The sequence below is a fragment of the Homo sapiens genome, chromosome 18, assembly GCF_000001405.40.
Source record: "Homo sapiens chromosome 18, GRCh38.p14 Primary Assembly".
Lineage (NCBI taxonomy): Eukaryota > Metazoa > Chordata > Mammalia > Primates > Hominidae > Homo > Homo sapiens.
In genome coordinates, this window is record NC_000018.10 from 70053804 (window position 1) to 70078748 (window position 24945).

The window sequence follows — 24945 nt, forward strand, 5'->3', positions numbered from 1 at the left end:
TGGGAATGTTTTATTAAGCTTTTGGCCTTAGCCATAGTTTATAAGAATAGTTAATACCCAGAACTCACTGTACTTTCTAACATCACACAGAGAGCTTTGCCCTCATTTAAACTGAAAACTCAAGGGTAGTCCTTTATTATACTACACACTTGTCTTAATTGGTACCATTAAAAGGCATCCAAACTATAAAACACATTATCAAAGCCTTCCAAAATACTAGCAAAAAGAAACTCAAAAAGTAACCTTCAAGTGAATATCTGAAACAGAGTAAGTTTTTTTTCCTCAGTATTATTCACTTACATTCTAAACTAAAACAATTAAGCTTACCTAATACATCTTTGGTACATATGGTGAGAATTCCAATGATATTGGTGATAAGAGGTTTCACAAGCTCATCCTGAATCACAAGGTCAGGCTCCACCAATAAACATGACTGCAGAAGCCTGGACAAAGAGGATAGGTATTCCAGGAGAAAGGAAACCTGTTTGAAAAGGAGACAGGGTCAAATCAAACATGCCATATAAAAAGCCCATCTCAGTGATACAGCATTTTACTTTTGTAACACAATAAAAAATAAAATATTAACCATAATTTTTCAAGATCTGAAATTAACACATAGCAGACAAAGCATTATTTTTCTCATAAGCATGTCATTAACAGCCATATTAATACTGTCAACTATACACCAAACAAAGCAATGTTTTCAAAGTCAAGTTTTGAATTCCATTTAAAGAAGTAAAGTCTTGGCCAGGTGTGGTAGCTAACACACCTGTAATGCCAGTCCTTTGAGAGGCCAAGGTGGGCAGATGGCTTGAGCCCAGGAGTTTGAGACCAGCCTGGGCAATACGGTGAGATCCTGTTTCCACAAAAAATATAAAAATTAGCCGGGCCTGCAGTCCCAGCTACTTGGGAGGCTGAGATGGGAGGACCACTTAAGCCCAGAAGGTAGAGGCTATAGTGAGCTGTGATCACACCACTGAACTCCAGCCTGGGTGACAGAGTAAAACCCTGTTTCAAAAGAAAAAAAAAAGTCCCATATTTTTCAAGTAGTCAAATTATGAAATCAATATTATGGAAGAAGTGGAAAAGTGTATAACAAAGCCATAAAGTCTATAATTTTGTAAAGAAAGAAAGATTACAAAAACACCCTTCAAAGTGCATAAGCAGGGGTGGGGGGAAGCTAGCCTAGTTATTGCTACAAATAAAATGCAAATATGTTCTATTTTTGCCCTCAGCATAAAATTACTATTATTAATTATAAAAGAAAAAATTAAATCATCTTCAATATTACCAACAAAACCATCTCTGGAATTTGCCTGATGCTAATATTGTTAAGTATTAACTGGCAAAAGTACTTTTCAGAAAAATAATCCTCTGAATATGTAACAATTAAAGAATGAGCTGTGATGTCTCATTTGTCCACTACCCTCAAGCAATGAGCCAGTTACATATAAGTGAATTTTATAAAGATATTCTGAAATCAGTCATTCTCTCTCTCTGTACACACACACACATACACACACACACACACACTTTTTTTCCTCTCACCTTATTCTGGGGTTGTAAGAGTGTAATGAAGAGTCGAGAGCCTGTTGTAAATTTGTGGAGTATGTGTCTCTGAGGTCAATGGTCTCAGACTATTTACAAATAGTTCTGCCCTACTTCTCCTGATGAATACGTCCTCCCTTTATCTAATCTGCCAACTTACTTTATATAAAAGTGTAGGTGGCTCCAGGCTTCACAAACTCTTCAGTTTGTGAAATTTAATTTGTTTACTGCCGTGAAGTCTTGAGACTTCATATTACATTCATACTCTACACTACTGAAATTATAGCAAGTCTGACCTCTGGATGTATGAAATATTACCATAAATAGATAAACCATGCCAGGTGAGGCAAGAAGAAGTGTTATAGAGAAAACGCTGAATTGCTAAAGATTCTTTTGTATATGATCACATTCAAGATTAAATAAAATATTCATATCTTAAGAGTAGTTGATAAAGTAACTCTTTTTCTATGTATGGCCCTCTTAAAAAAAAATACCAACCAACTGACCACAGACTTTAATCCATCATACCTTTAGCAGAGTATCACCCCACCAGCAGGGCTCTGGCCACCCCATCTGCCGCAGGCACTCGCAGCCTGCTCCCTCACCTCCCCAGCTTTCTGCTTAAGTGTCACCTTCAGGAGGCCCCTCCCCTTTCTGACACACCCTTTTACCCATCCTCAATTGCTTTTTTCCATACCATTTGTGACTATCTGATACAATGCATTTTATTTACTTGTTCACTGTCTGTCTCCTGCATTTATGGCACAGACTCTACGTGAGGAGAGATGCTCATCTGCTTTGTTCAAGGATATATCACTAGCACCTAGAACAGAATCTGGTAAAGCAGAGGCTCAAGAATTTTCTGAAATGAGTGAATGATCTTATATAAATACCAAGAGCCCAGAAGCATTTAATCTACATAAGGCCAGCTGGTGCAGTGGTTAAGAATGTGGGCCCTGGAACTGACCTGCATAGGTTGGAATCTATGTCAGAGACCTTGGACAAGTCACTCATCTCTCTGGGCCTCAGGCATTTCCTTTATAAAATGACATTAATGATAACTTCATGATTCTTGTGAAGATTACATGAATTAACAAAAACAAATGCCCATAAATGTTTGCTACTGCTATTATTCATTCATCCCACAAGTATCAAGTGAGCACCTGTCATGAGACAAGCCCTATGCCAGACACTCAGAACACAATGGAACATAACAGCCAGCAAGGTCCTGACTTCATGGAGCTGACTGTGCCCCTCTGGCCTCATCTTGCCCTCATAGATTCTGCTCCAGCGACTCCACCCTCCTTGCTGTTTCTTGGATAGGCCAAGCATACCCCAACCTCAGGGGTCTTGCAATGACCATAGGACTAGCTTCTTCACTAACTTTGGGTCCCACGACACTGCCTAATCATCCTAAGTGGAATAGCCCTACCCTTCCAACTCTGACATCACTTCCTGTCCCCTGCTTTAGTTTTTCTTCTGAGATGTCTATCATCTTCAGGCATATATGGATTTTCTAATTATCTATTCTCCCAACTTGAGGGAAGGGTCTTTGTTTTATTCACTTGGAGAAGATTCAGGCACACAGCAAGTACTCAACAAAGATTTGCTGGATGGAGAGCAGAAAAATGGAGGAGACAGTCATTATGCAATAGGCATGCTCAGGTGAAAACACTGCACCAGGACAACAGCTTCAAAGACCATGCGTGTAGCATTCCCAAACTTTGTAATGGGGTCTGTCTTATTCAGCTCAAAGAACACATCTCAAAGCAAGAGATATTGGTCTACTTCACCTTTAATTCATCACCTCCTAAATAAATCTTGTAGCCCTTCTTAAAATTTGATTTTGAAATAAAATTTCTGTTAGCAACAGCTACATGAATAATTGTTAAGCATGTTTTATAAATAGATTCTAGCTATAGGCAAGAATTTAAAACTAAATATCTGTGAAGGAACAAGAATAAATCATTTTTATCAAATTGGGTTTTGAAAATACACATAACTTAGCCACCAAATATTTTAACAACTTTAACTTTGGTGTAAATAACAGAGATAGCCTAAAATCACAGAAGCAGGAAGTGAACTATACCAATGTCCCTCTTTATTATTAAAGTGGTGCTCCAAGATATCCAGACACTTGATCATACATTTAAAGCTGGTTAATGATGGAGTCAAGAATAGAATCTAGGTCTTCAAACCCCACCTCTCTTTTCTAACATCCAGACATGTCCCATATTAAAATTTCAAGTAACGTATTTCGAATAATCTCATCATACCATGTATATTTTGAGAGGTTTTCATCCTTTTCCTATGACTAGTATCTCCTCAGCAAGATTTTTATTTTTGACACCTAACGTAAACAAACCCACAAACAGACTTGAGATGCTTACCTGAGCCTGAGTGTGTTCAGCTGGAGGTGATGAAGGCAGCAGGGCTCTGAGTTCCTGGACACATGTCTGTATGAGGGTAGCATCTGCAATGCTGTGACGATCAGAAAAAGAAAATCCTTCAGAAGATTAGTATACTTTTTATTAAAGATTAAGAAATCAGAATTTGAAGTTTAAAGGTAACTCGAATACAATTCAAGAGAAAGGATCTTTATAAGCAAAGAAAATGTTTATAAAAAGATATCTCAAAGAATTTCAAATTGTATCCTGGGTTACCTTCAAACAGGAAAATATCTTGTCAGAGAAAAGTGAGAAGCAAAGAGCTGTGAAGAAAATATCTAAGGAAACCTAATTAAAAGCAGAATAAAATATAATACAGCCCATGAGTAACAGGAAACTTGGTGGTTATTTTCCTAATAAAATAGCAAAAATACTGGCTAAAATAGCAAGAACACTGTTCATATTTAGAAAGTAAAAAACAAAATAAAGTAAAACAGGCCGGGTGCGGTGGCTCACGCCTGTAATCCCAGCACTTTGGGAGGCCAAGGTGGGTGGATCACCTGGGGTCAGGAGTTCAAGACCAGCCTGGTGAACATGGTGAAACCCCGTCTCTACTAAAGGTACCAAAAATTAGCTGGGTGTAGTGGCAGATGCCTGTAATCCCAGCTACTCAGGAGGTTGAGACAGGAGAATCGCTTGAACCCAGGAGGCGGAGGTTGCAGTGAGCCGAGATCGCGCCACTGCATTCCAGCCTGGGCAATAAGAGTGAAACTCCGTCTCAAAATAAATAAAAATAAAAAAATAAAAATAAAGTAAAACAAGTAGGATTTTTTTAAAGTCAAAAATGAAAAACAGGTACGGAAATATGATAAGCCTTTGCCATAAAAGGTCTTTTAATGCCCCTGTGGCCTCAATGCCACATCAGACTCTTAGCTGACTCGTAAGAAGCAAAGAAGATCCTATCCCTAGAGCTCTATTTTGGTCATCTTCAGGCAGGAGCATCCAGGAAGGAAAGCCAACTGACTAGCAGTTACTTTTCCAATCCGAGTAGGTACAGTAAAAAAATGATCAATAAATATTAAAGCCAGAACAAACTCATACTCCATTGCGTATCATACATGTTAAAGGAATAATTACAATTGAATGAGGTGAAACAAGGAATACTTCTTTTAGAGTTTATATTTTCTAGAGTTTTCTTAATATCCCAGAAAGAAAGAGAAGACACTATGATTTGGCAAGAAGATGCAAGACATTTCAGATGGTGTATGTTCAAAGGTAAAGGGACAGAGAGACAGAGAAATGCAAATAAACATGTGGTCAAAAGGAGGTGGGTATGGTTGGCTAGAATAAACTGAACACCAGAAGAAAAGAGAAGTAATACTTAAGGGGGTATCCTAGATACCATCACTTTTAATTCTCACACTAACCCCATTAAATAGGTGTTAATGACACAGTAGGGAGTAATTTCCCAAGGCTGCAAGCTACTGAGTGAATGAACTATAATTAGACCTTAGGTCAACCTGAATTCAATATCTAGTCCTTTTCTACTATACCTTCCTAGAAATTCAGAAAAATTATGTTACAGACTGATTAATATCAAATAAGTAATAAAAATTCAAATAATTTTTCTTTGAATTTAATTTCCCTAAATTTTATCAGAATACTTTTTGATGAAAAGTTTAATTTCCCTTAACAAAATAACTCCAAATGAATTTAACCAATAATTTTTCAACCCAGGGACATTATTCTGATATGACCACTAAAAAGATGAATTCCCAAAGTCCCTCACATCCATTAAGAACAGGGGATAGCACCATATTCCTTAAGTGTGCTGGAGGATAAATAAGGTTTAGAATCCATGAATTTTAGAAAGCAGGAGTTTTTCTTTGGCCTTAATAGTCAAGATAACAAACTAATACAAGTGCTTTAATAGATGTAAAATAAAAACCACCAAGACAATTCTGGCAAAAGCAAAATCCTAGAGTTCAATGAGCCTAAAAAAGAATAAAGCTGTATTTCCAGGTCACAAGAAATCTTGTATCAAGTCATGAATACAGTTTGTGTAAATTTATCTCAACTAACATGCCTCTCTAGGAGTATTTATCTCTTACCTACAGAGAAGTTCTATGAGATGAGCTTGTCGAAAAGCCTTTGCAGTGTCTCTGGGAGCAATCGTCAAGAGGTTGTCCAAGAGGCTGCACATTGCTGAAAGAAGAGATGGAGTAACAAAAACACACAGTTTGGGCAGGGGAGCAGAAAGAGATGAATCATGAGGTGGCCGTGGTGATGTACTTTCCTGGTGACCTATTATTGAAAATAAACATAAGAATTATTATTTACCTTACAGCTATGTACAATACTCAAAAGTTCTTATAATCATAGGAAAGTTCCTGAAAATGATAATGTATAGTTGGGGAATTGCCTTAGCTTCTTGGCTCATCTTAACCTTGAGGTTAGGGGTCAGGCTACCCCTACTACTCCTGACCTCCACCTTCCACCATGTGTGGATGTAGATGTGTAGATGTGTACACACGGACATTGTCGTATGCAGAAGAGACAGGTCAGAAAGGGCAGAACATGACTTCATGCCCCACGTATTCAGACACTGAGAACAAAAAGATGATTTACAATCCTTTTTCTGAAACTCGAGGGGCCAAAGGTGTGTCCAAATTCAAATAATCTTTAGGTTTTCTTCAGAGTAAAATCTTACTATTTTTATTATTTTTAAATTTTTAATTATGGATATATAATCATTGTACATATTTATGGGGTACACATGATATTTTGATACAGGCATACTATGTGCAATGCTCAAATCAAGGTAACTGGGACATCCATCACCTCAAACATTTACCATTTCTTTGTGTTGGGAACATTCCAACTCCATTCTTTTAGTTATTTTGAACTATACAATAAATTATTGTTAACTATAGTTACCCTGTTGTGCTACTGAACACTAGATCTTATTCCTCCTAACTGTATTTTGTACCCACTAACCATCCCTTCTTTATCTCTGGCTCTCCACTCTTTAGCCTCTGGTAACCCTCATTCTACTCTCTATTTTCATGAGTTCAACTTTTTTTTTTTTTAGTTCCCAAATATGAGTTGCAATATTTGTCTTTCTGTGCCTGGCTTATTTCATTTAACACAATGGCCTCCAGTTCCATCCATGTTGCTGCAAATGACAGGACTTCATTCTTTTCTCTGAGTAATATTTCATTGTGTACATATATGGTTCATTTTCTTTATCCATTCATTTGCTGACGGAACTTAGACTGATTCCCTATCTTGGCTATCACGAATGGCGTTGCAATCAACATGGGAGTGCAGCTATCTCGTCGATATACTTTTTTTTTCTTTTAGATATATACTCAGCAGCTGGATTGCTGGATCAGAGGGTAGGTTCTATTTTTAGTTTTTGAGGAACCTGCATACTGTTCTCCACAGTGGTTCCCAACAACACTGTATGAGAGCTCCCTTTTCTCCAAAATACTTTTAGACTTTAGAACAGTAATAAGGTACCTGCACCCTACATTAGTGAACACCTCCATTAACCTTTGAGCATTCCCTTACTTTCTGGCACAGCAAGATGTTCCAGGTTCATCTTGTTCTTTCCTCGTCCAAGCTCTAAAATTGGATATTTGTTCCAAAGTGTCGATTCCCTAAAGTGGAGAATGGAGTTTGGAAAGCAAGATTTGGGCACTAAATGTATACATTGCTATTTAGAGTGTCATTGTTTCTAAGCTAGAAAACGTGTGTGTATATACGTATGCATGCACATACATACCCCTGGGCACATAAACATATTTTATCTACGAATTAAAAATCATTAATTTGCCTGTAATTCCAGAATTTTGTGAGGCTGGGGTAGGAGGATCACTTTAGGCAAGGAGTTCAAGATCAGCCTGAGCAACATACAGAAACCTATCTCTACAAAAAGATTTAAAAATGAACCAGGCATGGCGGCACATTCCTTTAATCCTGGCTACTCGGGATGAGGTGGGAGGATCGCTTGAGCCCAGGAGGTGGCAACTGCAGTGAACTATGATCACAGCACTGTCCTCCAGCCTGGATGACAGAATGAGACCTCATCTCTTAAAAAACAAAATAATTGATTCATACTGAAAGCTCCAAATATAATCCAACACTCCAAATATAATCCAACATTAAACATCTTCCTTCCCTTCCATATTTGTAATTTCCGTTATGTGAAAGTAAAAATTCTGGCTTTCATTGTCTACAATATATTTACTTATTTGCCTTGCCTTATGAACACAATAAGTAGTTTCAGAATTTCTAACTAATAATACTGCAAAAAATAAAACTAGTAACTAGAGTTCAATGCTTGGTTACAGTTCATTTTGCCAATAGTCTGAGGACTAAAGTCCTAAAAATATGTCTGAGAGTTACTGGGGTTACTTCCTCTCTCACTTCAATGCTATTCATGTGAAATGTAGCTGGATTAATTGGTTTGTATTCCATGTTATTGTTTCCCATTTTTGTTGATTTTATTTTTTTCAGCAAGTAAAACATACATGGTTATAAAAGTCAACCTATACAAGAAGATACATGCAGAGAAGGGTCACTATCCCACCCCTCAATCTCTTCTACACTGTTCCCATCCTCTCTTATTTCCTAACTAACTCCCACCCATTCTCATAATTAATCTCATTCATTTCCAGCTGTTCCTTCCTGTTTTCTTTCTACACAAATAGATACACGTATTTTAAATTTCCCCTTCTTTCATATGCAAAAGTAGAAAACTGTAAATATCATAAACTATAAATACTCTTTATCATTGTGCTTCTTTCTTCACTTGACAATATTTCCTAAAATTTGGTCCATATCTGTTTGAAGATATCCTCCCCTCTTTTTTTTTTTTTTTTTTTCGTTTTTGGAGAAATGGTCTCACTGTTGCCCAGGCTGGAGTCTGGTGCAATCATGGCTCACTGAAGCCTCAAAGCCTGGGCTCAAGTGCTCCTCCCACCTCAGCCTCCTGAGTAGCTGAGACCACAGGTGTGTGCCACCATGCCTGGCTAATTTATTTTATATTTTGTAGAGATACAGTCTCACTATCGTGAAAAGTATCTCCCACCTCAGCCTCCAAAAGTTCTAGGATTATTGGTGTGAGCTGCTGTGCCCAGCCCCCTCTTTCTAATAGCTGTAGTTCTCCATTGTTATTTTAAAAATAAATTTTATTTATAAGTAATTTTGTTATATGTTTATCATTATCTATATATTGTTATATATCTATCAAAAACTATCCTTCTACTTACAGGCATTTGTGTTGTTTCCATGTTTTATAATTACAAACAATGCTTGCTAAATTATCAAGTACATATGTATTTTTATATTGCTGGAGATAAATAAAAGAGAATTCCTAGAAGTGGAATTGTTTAATCAAAGGTAAATACATAGTTTTGTTATCTATTGCCAAATTCCCTTCCAAAATTATACTAATTTGCATTTTCTCTAACAATGTATGAAAGTGCTTATTTTCCACAGCCTCGCCAAAAGAATGTACTGCCAATACTTAATTGTTGGCAATTTAATAAATAAAAAAGTATCTTCGGGTAGTATTAATTTGTATAATATTTTTCCAAAGATAAAGGCTACTTTTAGGTCCTTTGTGAATTATCTTTTCATGTTTTCTGCTCATTTTTACATGAGAGTTTGTGTTCTTTTCCCCTCAAATATTACGCCTGTAATCCCAGCCACTTGGGAAACTGAGACAGGAGGATTACTTGAGTCCAGGTGTTCGAGACTACAATGAGCTATGACCATGCCACTGCACTCCAGCCTGGGTGACAGAGCTAGACCCTGTCTCTTAAAAAATAATGATAAATCTTTGGAAATAAAAATGGAAAAAATTAAATTGAGATAATTCTAATGAAAATTGTCCAAACAATTTCAAGGGAAATCTTTCAGTATTCATAAAATATGTATTACATATCTTCAGCACTTCTAGAGCAAGCATATATAGAAACCTTTTTTGAATTTTTCTGTAAAGAGAGCTAGTTCAGAATATAAATTGATACATATTTTTTCAATTTTCTTGCTAATTTATTTTGTAAAACTAAGGAGGACATTTGACACCCTGATCTCTTATTTCCAAGTTTTGAAAAAAAAGGAATATACCTGATAGTGTCATATATCACCAAAAAATTGTGAGGATTCATCCTCTGTTCATGCCTCCCCTTTCTGTGGGTATTCTTTCTTTTATATGCTTTTTTTTTTTTTTTTGGTCATATATATGTGCTGAAATGATTGGCAAAGAGTAAAATTGCATAAATATACATTGAAAGCATACTATTTGTGGACGGGCATGGTGGCTCATGTCTGTAATCCCAGCACTTTGGGAGGCCAAGGCAGGTGGATCATCTGAGGTCAGGGGTTAGAGACCAGCCTGGGCAACATGATGAAACCCAAGCTCTACTAAAAATACAAAAATTAGGCAGGTGTACCGGCACACCTCTGTAATCCCAGCTACTCAGGAGGCTGAGGCAGAAGAATCTCCTGAACCCAGGAGGCAGAGGCTGCACTGAGCCAAGATTGCGCCACTGCACTCCAGCCTGGGCAACAGAGTGAGACTGCCTCCAAAAAAAAAAAAAAAAAAAAAAAGCGTTAATACTTGAAAATAAAATAAATTTAAAATCAAAGGTAATCCAAACAAAAAACAGAAAGCCTGTATATCCACACAAATGCCTATATCACGTGATGAATGGGTAACTGTAATATATTCATACAGTGGAATATTATTTGTCAATAAATAAATGAAGTTCTGATACATGCTAGAACATGGATGAACCTTGAAAACAGCACACTAAGTGAAAGAAGCCAGTCACACAAGACCATGTTATATGATTCCATTCATACAAAATGTCCAAAACGGGCAAATCTATAAAGAAGGAAAGTAGATTAGTGATTCCGTAGAGTGCCAAGAATGGGGGAGACAGGGAGTGACTGCTAATGGGTATAGGGTTTTTTTGCAAGATGATGGAAATATCCTAAAATTGATCGTGGTGACGGTTGCACAACTCTGAATATACTTAAAACCAATAAAGTATACACTTTAAACAAGTGAATTATATGGTATGTGAATTATATCTCAATAAAGATGTTAAAAATCAGAGTAAGGCAACATGCTTTTAGAGATAAATGTTCATGAAATTCATGATCGAATTTCATTTCATGCCCTATGTCCTGAGCCATTTAAATAATCTGAGTTTGCTCCTTTTGTTCTTAAGAAGATCAAATGAGTATTTTCTACAGTTAAATAATTTTATATATAGTGAACATGAATTACTAAAAACCAATATGGAACACTGTTTAGGAAATTATTGGAACAAATATTGTAATGAAAGTTCAAAGTTTTAATTCAGCAAGTTTTTCTAAATGTTTCAGAAAGTATTTTTTCTGCATATACTTATATGTATGCCAGTGTTTAAAATTACTTTCTTTTTAGATAGTATAGTCCTTTCAAGTCAAAAATTTAATGCTACTGAATAAGGCTTATATACTCTCTAGAATTTAAAAAAAAAAAAAAAAAGCAAAGTTGCAAATTTGAAGCACAGCAGGGTTGGAAGCAGTTCCCAGCACAAGGAGCAAAATTTATATATTGCCATTAATAAAAATAAGTCCCAAGTTGTATATTGTGCATTTCTAATAAAATAAAGACTCAATACATTTTATGTGCCTTTAAATGGAAGCATAGCCTTAGAAAATACTTAAAACCAGAATCGCTTTACTTTCAAGTGGATTACTTGTAGCAAAGTGTTTTCTCAAAAGAAGGGAAAAAATAAAGTTAAGTTATACCCATCAGTTCCCAAATTCAAATGTCAAATACCTACGAGCGCCTAATAAGGAGCCACACAGGAATTGGACTATTTATTTAAGAGCCAAATTCCATTTATTAGTTAAGAGCATTTATTTTATTAATTTCTGATATATTGGTTCTAAATGTATTTCATAATGGTCTACAACTTATTTCATTAAAATTTTGTTCTTTAGACATTTACTTTCAAAATATCTGTCTGGACCAACTTGTCATTTTTCTTTTTGAAGGTAGAATGTCTTCACTAAAAGGATACCTTGAGCCACAAACTGGTCATGGGAGGCTTCAGGTAGAAGTGTTGTTGACTGCACAAGTGGCTGAAATTCAGTACTCCCCAATGAAGGTGCCACCTATGAATCAGTAAATTATTTTACTTATTAATGTTACAGTACGGAAAATGAAACACAGGCAACATACACACAAGATATCCTTAAACAAGGAGGTTTAAGACAAAATTATACTAGTTAGGATAACTAGAAAAGATTCCATATCTTGGGAGTTACAGCAGTTTTTTTAAATGGCATTTCCACTTCTTAAAGGAATTGTTATCATTTACATAAATCAGTAACTCAAAGGAGCAGTATTGACTTCAGGCCCATTTAGGAGTTTAAGGTTCCCATAAGGCCAATTCCCTCATTGCCCAAATGTTAGAAAGGCTAAAATATACCACCTTAACTATAATTTATTGTGATATTTTGCATTTCTTGATTGACAATAAAGATATTTTTAATGTTCCAAATGGCACATATAAATTTTAATAGTGCCTAAAAAATTAGAAGTATTAAAAGATTTTTCTCTACCTCACCTCCTATCAAGGAAGAACACTAAAAAATTGTGCCAGTTTGCTGAGATTGCTTCAGAATACAACATTAAATATAACAAAATCCGTGGAAAGCAAGTACAATTTCACCTACAGGTTTATAATGAGCAGACCGACCTTCTAAGACTGAAAAAGCGCAAAGTGATGTGTTTGCGCTAAGAGGTGTTCAACTAAGCACCTCTTAGTTGAAAAACACTTATGTGGTGAGGTCAGATAACTCTTTTCCTTACCATCAATTTCTCTTCTGTGAAGTAACATGAAGTGCCCATACCTGGGTAGCCTCCATATCAGTACATGCAACACAACATTAGCTATCCATAGAAGTTATAAACCATCATTCCAGACTCAGATCCTATATAGCTCACAGTATTTGTACATTGATTGTGTATATATCTTAACACTTAGAGTACCTTAGAATTACCATGATGAAATGAAAGCAAAAACTAAGGTTATTTTCATTTGCAGTTTCTAATAGTAAAGAGAATATAAATTTGAAGAAATTACTAAAAATGGAATATACAGTTTTTTAAATCCCCCTTTTAACTTGAGCCCTTAACCATCTTTCACCACATTAAGTAAGTATAACAGTCATGATGCCAAGAAATAAGTGAGAAAGCTGCAGCTAAAAAATGTAGGCTAAGCACATAATCTAAAAAGTAAATCTGGAAAAAAGTTCAGTCTAAATAAGTCAATCATAAACAAACATCAAATGCCTTATTTTATATAGTATTAGATCCAGATACTAAGTAAAAATAACCTAAAGCTTGTTTATTTTTTTTTTTTTTGAGACGGAGTCTCACTCTGTTGCCCAGGCTGGAGTGCAGTGGCACGATCTCGGCTCACTGCAAGCTCCGCCTCCCGGGTTCACGCCATTCTCCTGCCTCAGCCTCCCGAGTAGCTGGGACTACAGGCGCCCGCCACCACGCCCGGCTAATTTTTTGTATTTTTAGTAGAGGCAGGGTTTCACTGTGTTAGCCAGGATGGTCTCGATCTCCTGACCTCGTGATCCGCCCGCCTCTGCCTCCCAAAGTGCTGGGATTACAGGCGTGAGCCACCGCGCCCAGCAAGCTTGTTTATTTTTAAAAATATATTTGCCTACAATTTGGCAATGAGAGATATGTGAAAAAATGTTCCTGTCAACAGATATCAAGACAACATTTATAGTTCTGTGAAGAAAATAATCCTATGCCAAGACTGATATCACAAACTATGCACAAGCTAATATATCTGGCTCCTGCCACAACTCTTTTGGTTGTATAAGAAAAGTTAAGGGGATAATGATGCTGAAATCCTTTATCATTTCACTGAACATTCTTTCAACTGATAAAGACTCAAGAAGGCCTTATTACTGATATAAATAGAATAGGTACCTGGTTTGCGGTTTCAACGATCGGTGTGGGAAAAGAAAGCTTATAAGGGCCCACTAAATACCTGGCTCATTAGAAGAAAGCAAAGTTGTGATTCATGACAAAGGTCAGGCATTAATAAAGATGTGATTTTCCTTAGTATAGTCCACAGAAGGGATACACAAGTTTAGAAAAGATGCTTTTAGAAAGTACCTTATTGTATTATAACTTACCCCATGTGGTTGGGGAAACACAATGATTGCTTTATATGGTGCTTTAAAATTGATTATGGATGATTTATATTTCTACTAGCCTCTATTTTTTAAGTGTGCTAAACTAATATATTGCTATTTTAATAACTAAAAGCAAAAAAGTATTAAAGCAAATTGTCCCAGTTCTATGCTCAAATCTTTGCTTGTTTAGATATAATCTCCAATCGATAGTATTTGGTTACATTTGATAAAGTACATCGATATGTAAACATGTTACTTTTCACCTTAAAATCCAAGTAATAACTAGACAATTTTGGCATTAAGTATTAGCTACTGGAAGGTGCAGTATGAGCCTACGAAGCTATAGGTACAAAAAGCCTGACCTAGTCCACGTCCTCATTTAGAGAAAAGGACCACAAGTTAAGGGATTTGTCTGAGTTGAGACTAGGATTCTCAGTCCAGAACTGCATTCATGACAGCATAAATTCGTTAGAATCAGAGGAAGTCCTCAGACGTACCTCTTGAGAAAGCTGGCTGGCCTTGTTTGCGAGGAGAGGCTTGCTTCTTTCTCCCTGATCCCCCTGTGTCCCCGCGGAACTTCAGCTAGACTAACTTCAGCTGCCCCATCCCAGGTGAAGGAGGAGGAATTGGCTTAGTTTAAGAGCAAACTTAGTCTGCTGAAGTCATCCGTTCCTGTCAAGCTTCTCGCTGCTCTGCTCTGTACCTCACAGTAAGTAGGATAACTAGGGTTGTCCTCTTACAACAGCGAGAGTCTAATTCTTGTATCTATCACTTGCTCAATTCATTAGAATGGTCTAAGTGCAAAATCACAATCTAGACTTTTCCCTCGCTTTCACATCTGCCACATGACATATCCTGAGATCTTCAATTTATAATCCCTCGGTAAGACAAAAAAATCTGAATTTGAATATATTTCTAGCCTTATTACTTTACAGATATTACAAAAGACAATACAAGCTTTTTAGAGCAGGCTGATGCTACTTAAAGGTACTGTCCTAAAACAGACTCAGATTAGTGTAATGGATGTTGCTAGGGGATAGGAGCTGGGGAAAAGGGGAGATGTTTGGTCAAAGAGTGCAAACTTTCAGATAAGATGAGTATGTTCTGGGGATCTAATGTGTAGCATGGTGAATATGGTTAATATGGTCTAATGTGTAGCATGGTGAATATGGTTAATATGGTTAATAACACTGCACAGTCTACTTGAAAGAGAGTAGTTCTTAAGTGTTCTCACCACAAAAAAAAAAGGTTGACTCTTAGGTGACAGATGTGTTAACTAATTTGACTGTGGTAATCATTTCATCACATATACATATGTCAAGTAATCTCACTGTATATCTCAAATATATACAATTTTATTTGTCATTTTAGCTCAAAACTAGGGGAAAATAAAAAAATAAAATGGACTCAAATCTTGCTTATAAAAACTGAAAAAAATTGTTCTTCAGTGTGTTTGTAAGCAGATTTGGTAACTAAAGAAGGTTTCTAAATTATGCTTCAGTGTAAAATAAGCAGCTAAAATTAAGAAAGTCCCTTTGAAATCACTGAAAATAGCAGAGTCATTTGCCATATCCAAGTAGAACTGGAATGTAAAAAACAATTTCTGTCATATAAGCAAAAATGCATCAATGTACAAAAATGATTTTCTTTGTATCTGCCTTACAGAAGCAAGTGATTTCACTAGACACTTTAACTTTTTTTGAAAGTTAATTCAGAACTTGAATATTGTATTTGCCAAAATGATCTTGTAATAGTTCCATCAACTTCCCTCAAAAGCAGTACTGGTGCCAAAAAAGTTTATTTAATTGTTTTTAAAAAGGTACAAAGGGAGAAAATAAGGATTGTAGTGTGAAAAAAATAAAGTACAAGTCTAGCCACATTTTGAAAACATGGAAAAATATAAGATATGAAGGGTTTCTAAGAGATTCTAAGCTTCATGTGTTCATTTTAATAAATAATACCTTTCTCTATATGCCCAGGAGCAGGAAAGCTTTGGCATGCTTCTCAATTTGTAATCATTAATTCTAACCAAATTATAACAAGAAGTTTAAATTATTTCAACTAATAGATTCATAATTCAAATGGATTATGTACAATATATGTAAAAAAAAGAAAGCTCAGAAAAGTCCTCTGAAGGAATGAGCAGAAGATGATAGACGATTCTTGCATGTCTAACCAAAGGACCACTTAAAGAGACAGATCATCACCACAACACAGTCACAGTTCCTGTGCCATCCTGTGTGTAATCTAAGAGCACAAATTTCCAAGAGCTTGTCTCACTTGTATTTTCCTCCTAACTAAATATAAGAGGTTGTTAGACTCTGGATAATCCACAGGTAGCTGAAATTTATTTAAACAGAGTATAACATTTTCTTTCTCTCTCCATCATCACACAAACTACCACCTCCTCAAGTTTTCCTGGGGTCACCATGCTGGAGGTATTTGTATGTCCTATCAGTGATGCCTATGTCAAAACTATTTTTCTTTTAGAAAGCCTCTTGGATCCATCCCTGCTTAAACTATCCTCTGTCTACTCTTCCTTCTATAAAACAATTTTAACTACCATCAAATGAGTGTCAATACGTTATTTCTCTCATATCAGTTGTAATGTTTCATGCCATTCCATGCTGCTGAAATATCCTTACATCTTTATCTTTATAGCTCTTATATCTTACCTCTTCAAATCCAAAAGCTGATTCAGCTTTCTTAACTAACTCCTATCTGATTAGTCAGGTCATCAAACTTTAGCTTTCCGTCCCACATTCTACTCCAAACAACCTCTTGCATTTTCTGAATGTTAATGCCTTCAGTACAACACAACTTCATATTTAGTTAGAAAGTCTAAGTATGCTTTATGTTCTCAAGTAGACTTTTGTCATTTGTTAAGTGGTCACTGAATCCTAAGGAATATTTGAATCTTTTCAGTCCCTTGCAAATGTTTGTATGCATATAAAAGAGAAGGGGATAATATTGTAAAGCCCATTTCAGTGGCCACTTCCTACACAAAACCACTTTTCATTTCATCTTTCCCTCTAAAGAAACCTCACTGTCCCTTGACTACACCATCTTTTATGGGATCAATCACATCTGGCCTTAGAGTGAAGGAGGAAGCAAACATACTTCTGGACTCAAAAGAATGGTCTACCAGTTACCATGCTAGGAACTTGAACAAGCATGCACTCCATGGAGTGGGACCTCACTCCATGCCCTAATTTCCTCTTTTGCAAAATAGTAACAATGCTTTTCAGTTGTTTTAAGACTATGAAGTGTAAAAATTCTCTTTAAATGTTTAGAAAAACTAAAATCAGTTTTCTTTAAATCTGTGTTCCAGAAAAAAGTTTGAAAGATCACATATTTCACAAAGAAAGGCTCAAAAAGAAAGGAATTATATTTCCCACATATTTTATTTTGACAATTGATAAATTTAAAAAAATACAGACATAGTTCTGCTCAGGAACAACAGAAGAGACCAAATTTTGGTCATAAAGCTGTTGCTGCACACAGGTGTGTAAGAGGCACAAACAGCTATCCATCTTGGATATAAACGTGATTTCGAGAAGAAAAACACCACCTAATGGCTGCATCCTCCTACCCCAGAGGAGGAGAATATTGAGTTCGATAGAGGCCACTCCTGAGGAAGCATTTACAAGGGCGATGCCCCAAAGCTAACAATGACACTCTGCTTACTCTATCTGCAGTTTATCAAACATACAGGACCCAACAATCCTTACGAAGCTTGCCAAACAACGGAACTAATACACATTAGGTAACAGCATGAAAGTCCCTAACTTGGCATTAACAGCACAAAATGGATAGTAACCCAGGAGAGCATGCTGGATGACATGACCCAAATCAAAAGATGATGCTTTCCTTGGAAAGATAAAATGGAAAAACCAGCCAACTAACCAATAAAGGATTGCATTTTTTCTCAATTCTGAGATAAACAAAACAAAGATATAAATAAGCAGATAAGCTGATTAATAAGATTTACATCCACTCAACTTATACCTCAATTTGTAACTTCAACATTTTTTTATACATAAGAAAGTATGCCTTGGTCGAAGTACTGACAGCTTTGGTTTAAAGTAACACTGGCAGAATGAAAACACTCTCCAGATTTTTCTCCTGTTGGGACAAAGATACACATCATCTTGGGTATGGTAAAGAAAATATAACTAGTAGAATTAGGGTACGAAGACTATTTTTGTAACTAAAAGTCACCCATTCTAAAAGTTGTTTGGAAACCTCCCGAAAAAGAAAGTAAAAAGTAAATTCTGTAAAAATTCTAACAGAATACACTAGCCTTTAGAGAAAATAATAAGAAATAAATTTTACACATATTACAAAATTCTTTTAAAAAAACTGAAAAGATTCCATTGGTATATATTTCTAAAAGTCTGTGTTACATTCAAACACAAACAAGTTAAAGACCTTCACTTTAATTGGGGTGCTTCTTTCTTTAATAATGACTACAATTAATAACATATTTCCAAATTTTCTCAGAAAATCTAGTATTCTAACCTGTAAGATTAAATGTTATTACAAAATAGAGAAATTCAAAAGGTTGATATGCTTTTGCTTTTTGTATTTAGGTTTTCTTGTATAGGATAAATATGACTTCAGTGCTCACCACAAAATAGCTAAGATAACTCAAAGTTAATTAGAGCAATTATTATTTACTGAGTACCTACTAAAAGCAAAAAAACTGAAATATGTACAAAGATTTCAAGGCTAGTCTATAGCCCTTTTGACAAATAGGCTAACAAACAAAATTTACTTTTAAGCACACTTTCATGCTGTCCTTCTGTGAACTAAATAACCAATTAAGACAATTCAGTTTGGCATTTATCATATTACTGCTCTTGTTGAGACAAAGGTACACACTATCTCCACCTTGGAAAGGAAAGCATGACATCTAGTGGAACTCGGGTAATTATCTTACTTTTCCATACAAAGGTCCAATGTAGCACTAAACACAAATACTTCTCTTGAATCTAGGGAAAAAAAGACTTAAAACTGTAGCAAAAAGTATCAGTCTTTTGAGAAACTAGGAGATAGATTAAACATAATCTTTACATTATAATGTCTGTATAATTATTATTCTCATATTATTTTTGTTCCTGGAAACAGGTGTATCAAATCTTTCCCTTCCTGATATGTTGTATAATACACTAATTATTTCAAAAACACTTTAAAATTAAAAGTAACATTTCCCAGTTGAGAATAAATGATTCTGTATGTTTGTAAATAACTGAAACCTAGTATCAATCATTCCTTATAAATACTCAGTGTTTCAAACTTTTCTGCAAAAAAAGCAACTAATGCATGAATGAAAGGGGAAGGAAAGAAGGCATGCAAACAGGCATATATAAATTTCAGGTATTCCAGATAAACTTCTATGTGATGCAAGTATTTAGAAGTGTGTTTAAAGCTGTCAGCACCACACTAGAATCATTTGAATGTTCTTCATATTGCCCTGCCCTTAAGCACAATTTCAGGGTAATCAACCATTTTTAACATGTAGGATTTGTTCTCTTCTAATACTAACGAAAAACATATTTTCACACTTTCGTACTATCAAAAAAGGTAGGAAAGAGAGGTTGAAAATTCTCAACTAAAGGGATATTCAGTGTAGCTATACCGTAGCAAGACACACCCTGGTTCAAACTCCAGTTCTGCTACCTATAGCACTAATGATCACAAAGTTACTTTACTTCAGAGTGGCTTGCGCACACAGAAAAGCAAGATAAGTATCTATAATGTATGACTGATGTGCAGCTTGAATACAATAATTTAGCAAAATTCTGCAGAAAGCACTTCGAATAAATCATAGCTGTTATAACCTTACACTTTGTATTCTTAACTCTCCCACTAGGCAAACTCAAATTTTTTCAGAGATTCAAAATAAAGGACTTATGCATTCTTTGCAAGTACCGTTGTTTCTGAGGTGGAGAGAGAACTTGGATCTCGATCCTGACTTGTCCTAGATGGAGCCCTCCAAAACTTGAATGAGTCATCTAAACCTGCAACAACGAGAAAATTGTTAACATGGACACCCTCCTAGGAACTGTAACAATTAATTAAAAGGGTACGCATTACAGGAAACCAATTCAAAACTAAAGAAAGGAAAAAACTTATATGGATCTGGCTTCTGAGATAGACCACTATTTAAAAAAAAAAAAATCTAAGGAGAGTTTTTTTTTAATGTGCATAAGAATCACTGAGAGCTTGCTAAAGCAGCTGCTTCAGCCCCAGCCCCAGAGGCTCCAATACCCCAGGTCAGAGTGGAAGCCCTGAGTGTTCACTTCTAACAAGTTCACAGAAGATGCCAATGCTGTTAGTTTAAGGGCCATGCTCTAAGTAACTGATCCAGAGAAATCTAAACAATTAAGTGAGTCACTTTTCTAAGAGGGATATTTAAAATGTTCAAAACTTCATCAAATCTCATTTTCTTGATTCTTCCAAGAAGTAAACAGAAAAGTGAATCACACATTCACACTTAATAATTCGGGGATAAAGGAACTTCATGTCTTCAACTTACTCTTAAATGGCTCAAAAAGAGTATATATAGATCATACATATCCGTTTATTTATACACACATACACACACATGTGGCAAGATGTAAATACTGTAAAATGTTAACATTTGAGAATTCTTTTGTACTATTCCTGAAGCTTTTCTGTAAGTTTGAAACTATGGCAAGATTCTAAAAAATTATTATAAAAATGAATTTAAAAATAAAAGCTATTTATATTATTAAATTACTATTTATTACAAGATATAATTATTTTTATGTGCTCAGATCTTATACTTAGCAAATCTACAAGAACCTACAAACAAAAGGAATAAAAAGGTTTCAGGAAAATATTGTGACAAATAAGTAACATACTAAAATAAATAACTTTTTGATACATGAGCAAAATGAATTAGAAAATATAGTGGGAAAAAGTCTCATTCACAAGAAGGATAAAAAAACTGTACATTGCCTAGAAGTGAAAGTTCCAAAAAAGTTTGAGACGTTAACAGAGAAAGAAACTATAAAACTGTACTGATGGGCATAACTTATAAAGTATTAATAAGATGTCAAAAATAATTTCCATGAAGAATTTATAACATAGAAAAATGCTTGCAGAATATTTAGTGAAAGAAGGAAATACAAAAATGTACACAAGATATGAACATAATTACATAAAACAAACAAAGGCTATACAGAGAAAGAAGACGGGAAGAAAATACATCTCTCTGGGTGGTAGAACTGGAAATGAATGTTTTCCCTGTATACTTTCATTTTTCAAATTTTTAAAACAAATATATGTATTTTTAACAGTTTTTACAAGTTACATATTACAAAAATAAAAATACAAAGATATCGTACTTACCATTTAAATCATTGCTTTCTGAATTTCTATCAAAAGCAGAAAAATTCAAATCAAACATACACCGTCCTAGGTAACAATGCTTTACCATCTGATTCAAATGTTCATAAAAATGGCAGTGATATAAAAGAGCCTGAAGGGCAGGTTTTCCAATGAGCGATAGGCCAGAGTCCTCATCATGAACACAGGGACCCTGTAGGAAGAGAGGGAAAGAAGGAGGAGACACTGATTTATCCAACAATTTCCTTAAAAAGATCCATTGTCTCCTCTCGAGGAAACAAATGGGTCCCAGATGCTCCCATCTCCTTCCACTCTGCTTTTGTCCTTACACAGTTATAGCAGCCTGACCTAGGACAAATTATTCCATAATACTCTAGGTCTTTGCTGCCTAAACACCCCCGTGAAGGGACAAAGCTGATCTTTCTCTTGAGGGGCCATTTCATTTAAAATGTTTCTATGGAATGATCAGCTTTAACCAAGAAATCATATACTTGCACCAAAAACACAATAAAAGCAGTATTTTTCAACCTACATATAATAGTAAAATAATAGGTGTTAAAATATATGAAATAAGGTGGTCCATATATTATGTTCAGAATTATTTTTTATACCTATCACTAAGCCAGGTAAAATGAAAAGGTCCATCAATATCCATATGGCAAAATCTGTCACATTACTTCCCACTGAATTAATCCTGACAAGGAAAAAAAACACACACATGTATACATACACACACATGAACTGCCACCAGGAGGCTGAAAAGAATCTGCTATTACACAATTTTTCTCTTTGCATTTTTCCCAAACAATTTTTTGCATTGTGACTTACTACTTTTCCTGGAGTATCTAATAGCAAAAAGCAAGCAATGAGGATTGGTTTGAAGTTTGCAAATAATCCTACCATTAGTTTATAAATATTTCTATTTTCTGGGAAATGATAATAAAGTTAAGATTTCAAAACAGGCCATAAGAGAGAGAAAAATAAAAGATAGCAAACAGAAATCTAAGAGCCAACAGGAAAGATACGTTCAAAACATATTGCAAGTTGACCTTTAACCATAAGATTTGTATGTGTGTCTGTTCTCTCACCCTCCCCATCACCAAAAGAAGATGGATATTTTAACTTACTCTTCAGGAAGACAAAGGAATTCACAAGTTAAAGGCACGATTACACTAACAAGGTTATTTCTATTAACACTTCTTTTTAAGGACATTTATATACATCATTATAATTAAACCTCTTCAATATTCAATGTCTTTTATGACTATGAAGTTGTTACTGCTGTGTTGTAATAAATCTACCAACACTGTGAGCTTACTCGTCCTAAACAGAGCAATTTATATAAGAAATAAGACTACTGTAATGAACAGCCAGCACATGGTGGTCACTGTCGTTATTTTAAATGCAGAGGTCTAGAAGAATCAGGTAAAATAGAGAGTAATACAAAGTGAATGGGGTTATGTGGCTCCTGTTTATTAACCAAGGTATATGTTACAGGTACTGGCGCCCTTTAATACATTACCTTATTTTATTATATAGAATGAAGTATTCACCCAAAATCACAGTCAATCTTAACATTCACAGCTTCAAGAAATTCTATCTTTTAAGCAAGTTATAACATACTTAAACGTACAAAACACGCCAAACACCCAAGAGATTTGCAATAAACTGCTTAACATCACAAATTAGAGTCCTCATTATAATAATATAGGGAAGGAATTAACAAATAAGACAAGAATTGTAGAGGGTTTACTAGCTTCACTCCATCTAAAAAATTCAATAAATCAAAAGTGATTAATCAAAGTTGTACAAAAACTAGTTTTCAAAATATATTTTATAATGATACAAAGAACCACTTAAAAATATTTTGCCATACAGATTATATAAAATTATGCAATTTTTCATATTTTTGCAAAATTATGTCTACATGAATGCTTCCTCTATCAGTTACCACAACCCAAAATTCACAAACCTTTAATGAAAATAGAGAAGAGAATGTAAACTGTATAAATCTTAAAAACAGAAAAAAATGACATCTACAGCTCTTTGAGAGATCTTAAATCTGCTGATTCTTTATTCTGTTCAAGGCCTACTGAGGCTGATGGCCATACCAACTGTTAGGAAGACAAGAGTTACAAACCCACTGTCTTCTAAAATCTAACATTTCTTTAGTTTTTAAGTATTTTAGAAGTGAGAAGTTACACATGTAAATATGGTATTAGAACTCTTGCAATTATTCTCTAAATATGTAAAATTGTCACAGTGATAAAGAACCTAGTTTAATCACATTTTCCCTTCAATAAATTAAAAATTCTTTTCTAGTTCCTATTAATATAAACACAGACTTAGAAAATATAGGTAAGAAAGTCATAATAAGAGACACAAATTTATAACTAAATCTATCAAATAAAGTTTAGAATCTGTTCTATTTTTCCTCTGTTTATAAATCATGGTAAAAATTATTTAGCCTACCAAGATTGAAGAAGCTAATTTAGCTTATGAACAAAAAATTTAATATCATAGAAAATAGTGCAAAAAGGTTTAAGATATAGAAATACAAAAGGAAATCAGAGAAAATAAATTCAAGAGGCCTAATAAGGGACTTACAATTTCTGGAAAGATAAAATATAACACACAAAAAAAGGAAATTCATCTTAAAAGAAATAAATATGAAAAGATTTGTCAGAGCCAAAAAAATATATAGAAGATCCAAATCTTCAAATTAAGGAGCTTAATAAATGTCAAGCAAGAAAAATGGAAAAAAGGTACATAATAAAAAAATTCTAAACATTGAGGACAAAGAGATGATAATGAAAGAAAACATCAGCCATAAAGAAGTAAAAAGAGTCAGATGAAAATTCAACTTCTCATCAGTAGCACTGGATGCTAGAATACAGTGAAGCAAAATTCTTGGGAGGAACAATCTTCACCAAACATATGGTAACTAACCACACTATCAATCCAGTGCAATTTAAAGACATTTTCAAATATGCAAGAACTTGTGATATTTATCTCTCATGCACTTGTCACTAGTTACCACTACAATCATTTTGAGAATTATGACTAGGAAAAGAAATTCTAACAGAAGAGAAAGGATGATTAAGAGCTTAGAAAAACTTTAGACATGAGACATGATATGGACCCACAATGTAAGAAAAAACAAACAGGAACCTCAAGGGAAAATAAATCACCCAAATCAATTTTTAAATTATATTTTTATATATACATATATACACACACACATATACATGTATACATACATACAAATACCAGAAAACTTTTCCTCTGAGTATTAGATGAGTTGGTCCTGGAAGCCGAGATAAGAAAGTGTAATCACAGCCCACTAAGTGTCTCTGTAGTGAGTTACGGTTTTCAACTTTTAGAAGCAACCTACAGATAA

The 24945-nt window shown here is 34.9% G+C and overlaps 1 protein-coding gene across 18 annotated transcripts in view, besides 1 other annotated feature; it reads right to left on the reverse strand.

The window, feature by feature from the left end:
• Positions 1 to 24945, reverse strand: part of RTTN (rotatin) — a 202657-nt gene that overhangs the window by 50773 nt on the left and 126939 nt on the right. For 15 of the 18 annotated variants that reach the window (XR_430072.4, NM_001318520.2, XM_047437468.1 and 12 more), the window contains 6 exons: positions 21549 to 21738; positions 20103 to 20191; positions 12026 to 12119; positions 6047 to 6239; positions 3939 to 4029; positions 328 to 481 (listed from right to left, as the gene is read on the reverse strand). Coding sequence is in view for 16 of the 18 variants with exons in the window: in NM_001318520.2 (NP_001305449.1) it covers positions 328 to 481; positions 3939 to 4029; positions 6047 to 6239; positions 12026 to 12119; positions 20103 to 20191; positions 21549 to 21738 (811 nt within the window). In the remaining 2 variants the exon portion in view is untranslated. Of the gene's footprint in view, positions 1 to 327; positions 482 to 3938; positions 4030 to 6046; positions 6240 to 11953; positions 12120 to 20102; positions 20192 to 21548; positions 21739 to 24805; positions 24936 to 24945 lie in introns of those variants that run through there. The other 3 variants (XM_011525907.3, XR_007066140.1, XM_047437469.1) reach the window with 3 other exon arrangements.
• Positions 18850 to 19144: a silencer, noted in NCBI's record as "tiled region #7597; HepG2 Repressive non-DNase unmatched - State 13:Ctcf". NCBI's record gives its function as "represses a minimal TATA promoter and a strong SV40 promoter by Sharpr-MPRA in HepG2 cells {active_cell/tissue: HepG2}" and the evidence as "EXISTENCE:reporter gene assay evidence [ECO:0000049][PMID:27701403]".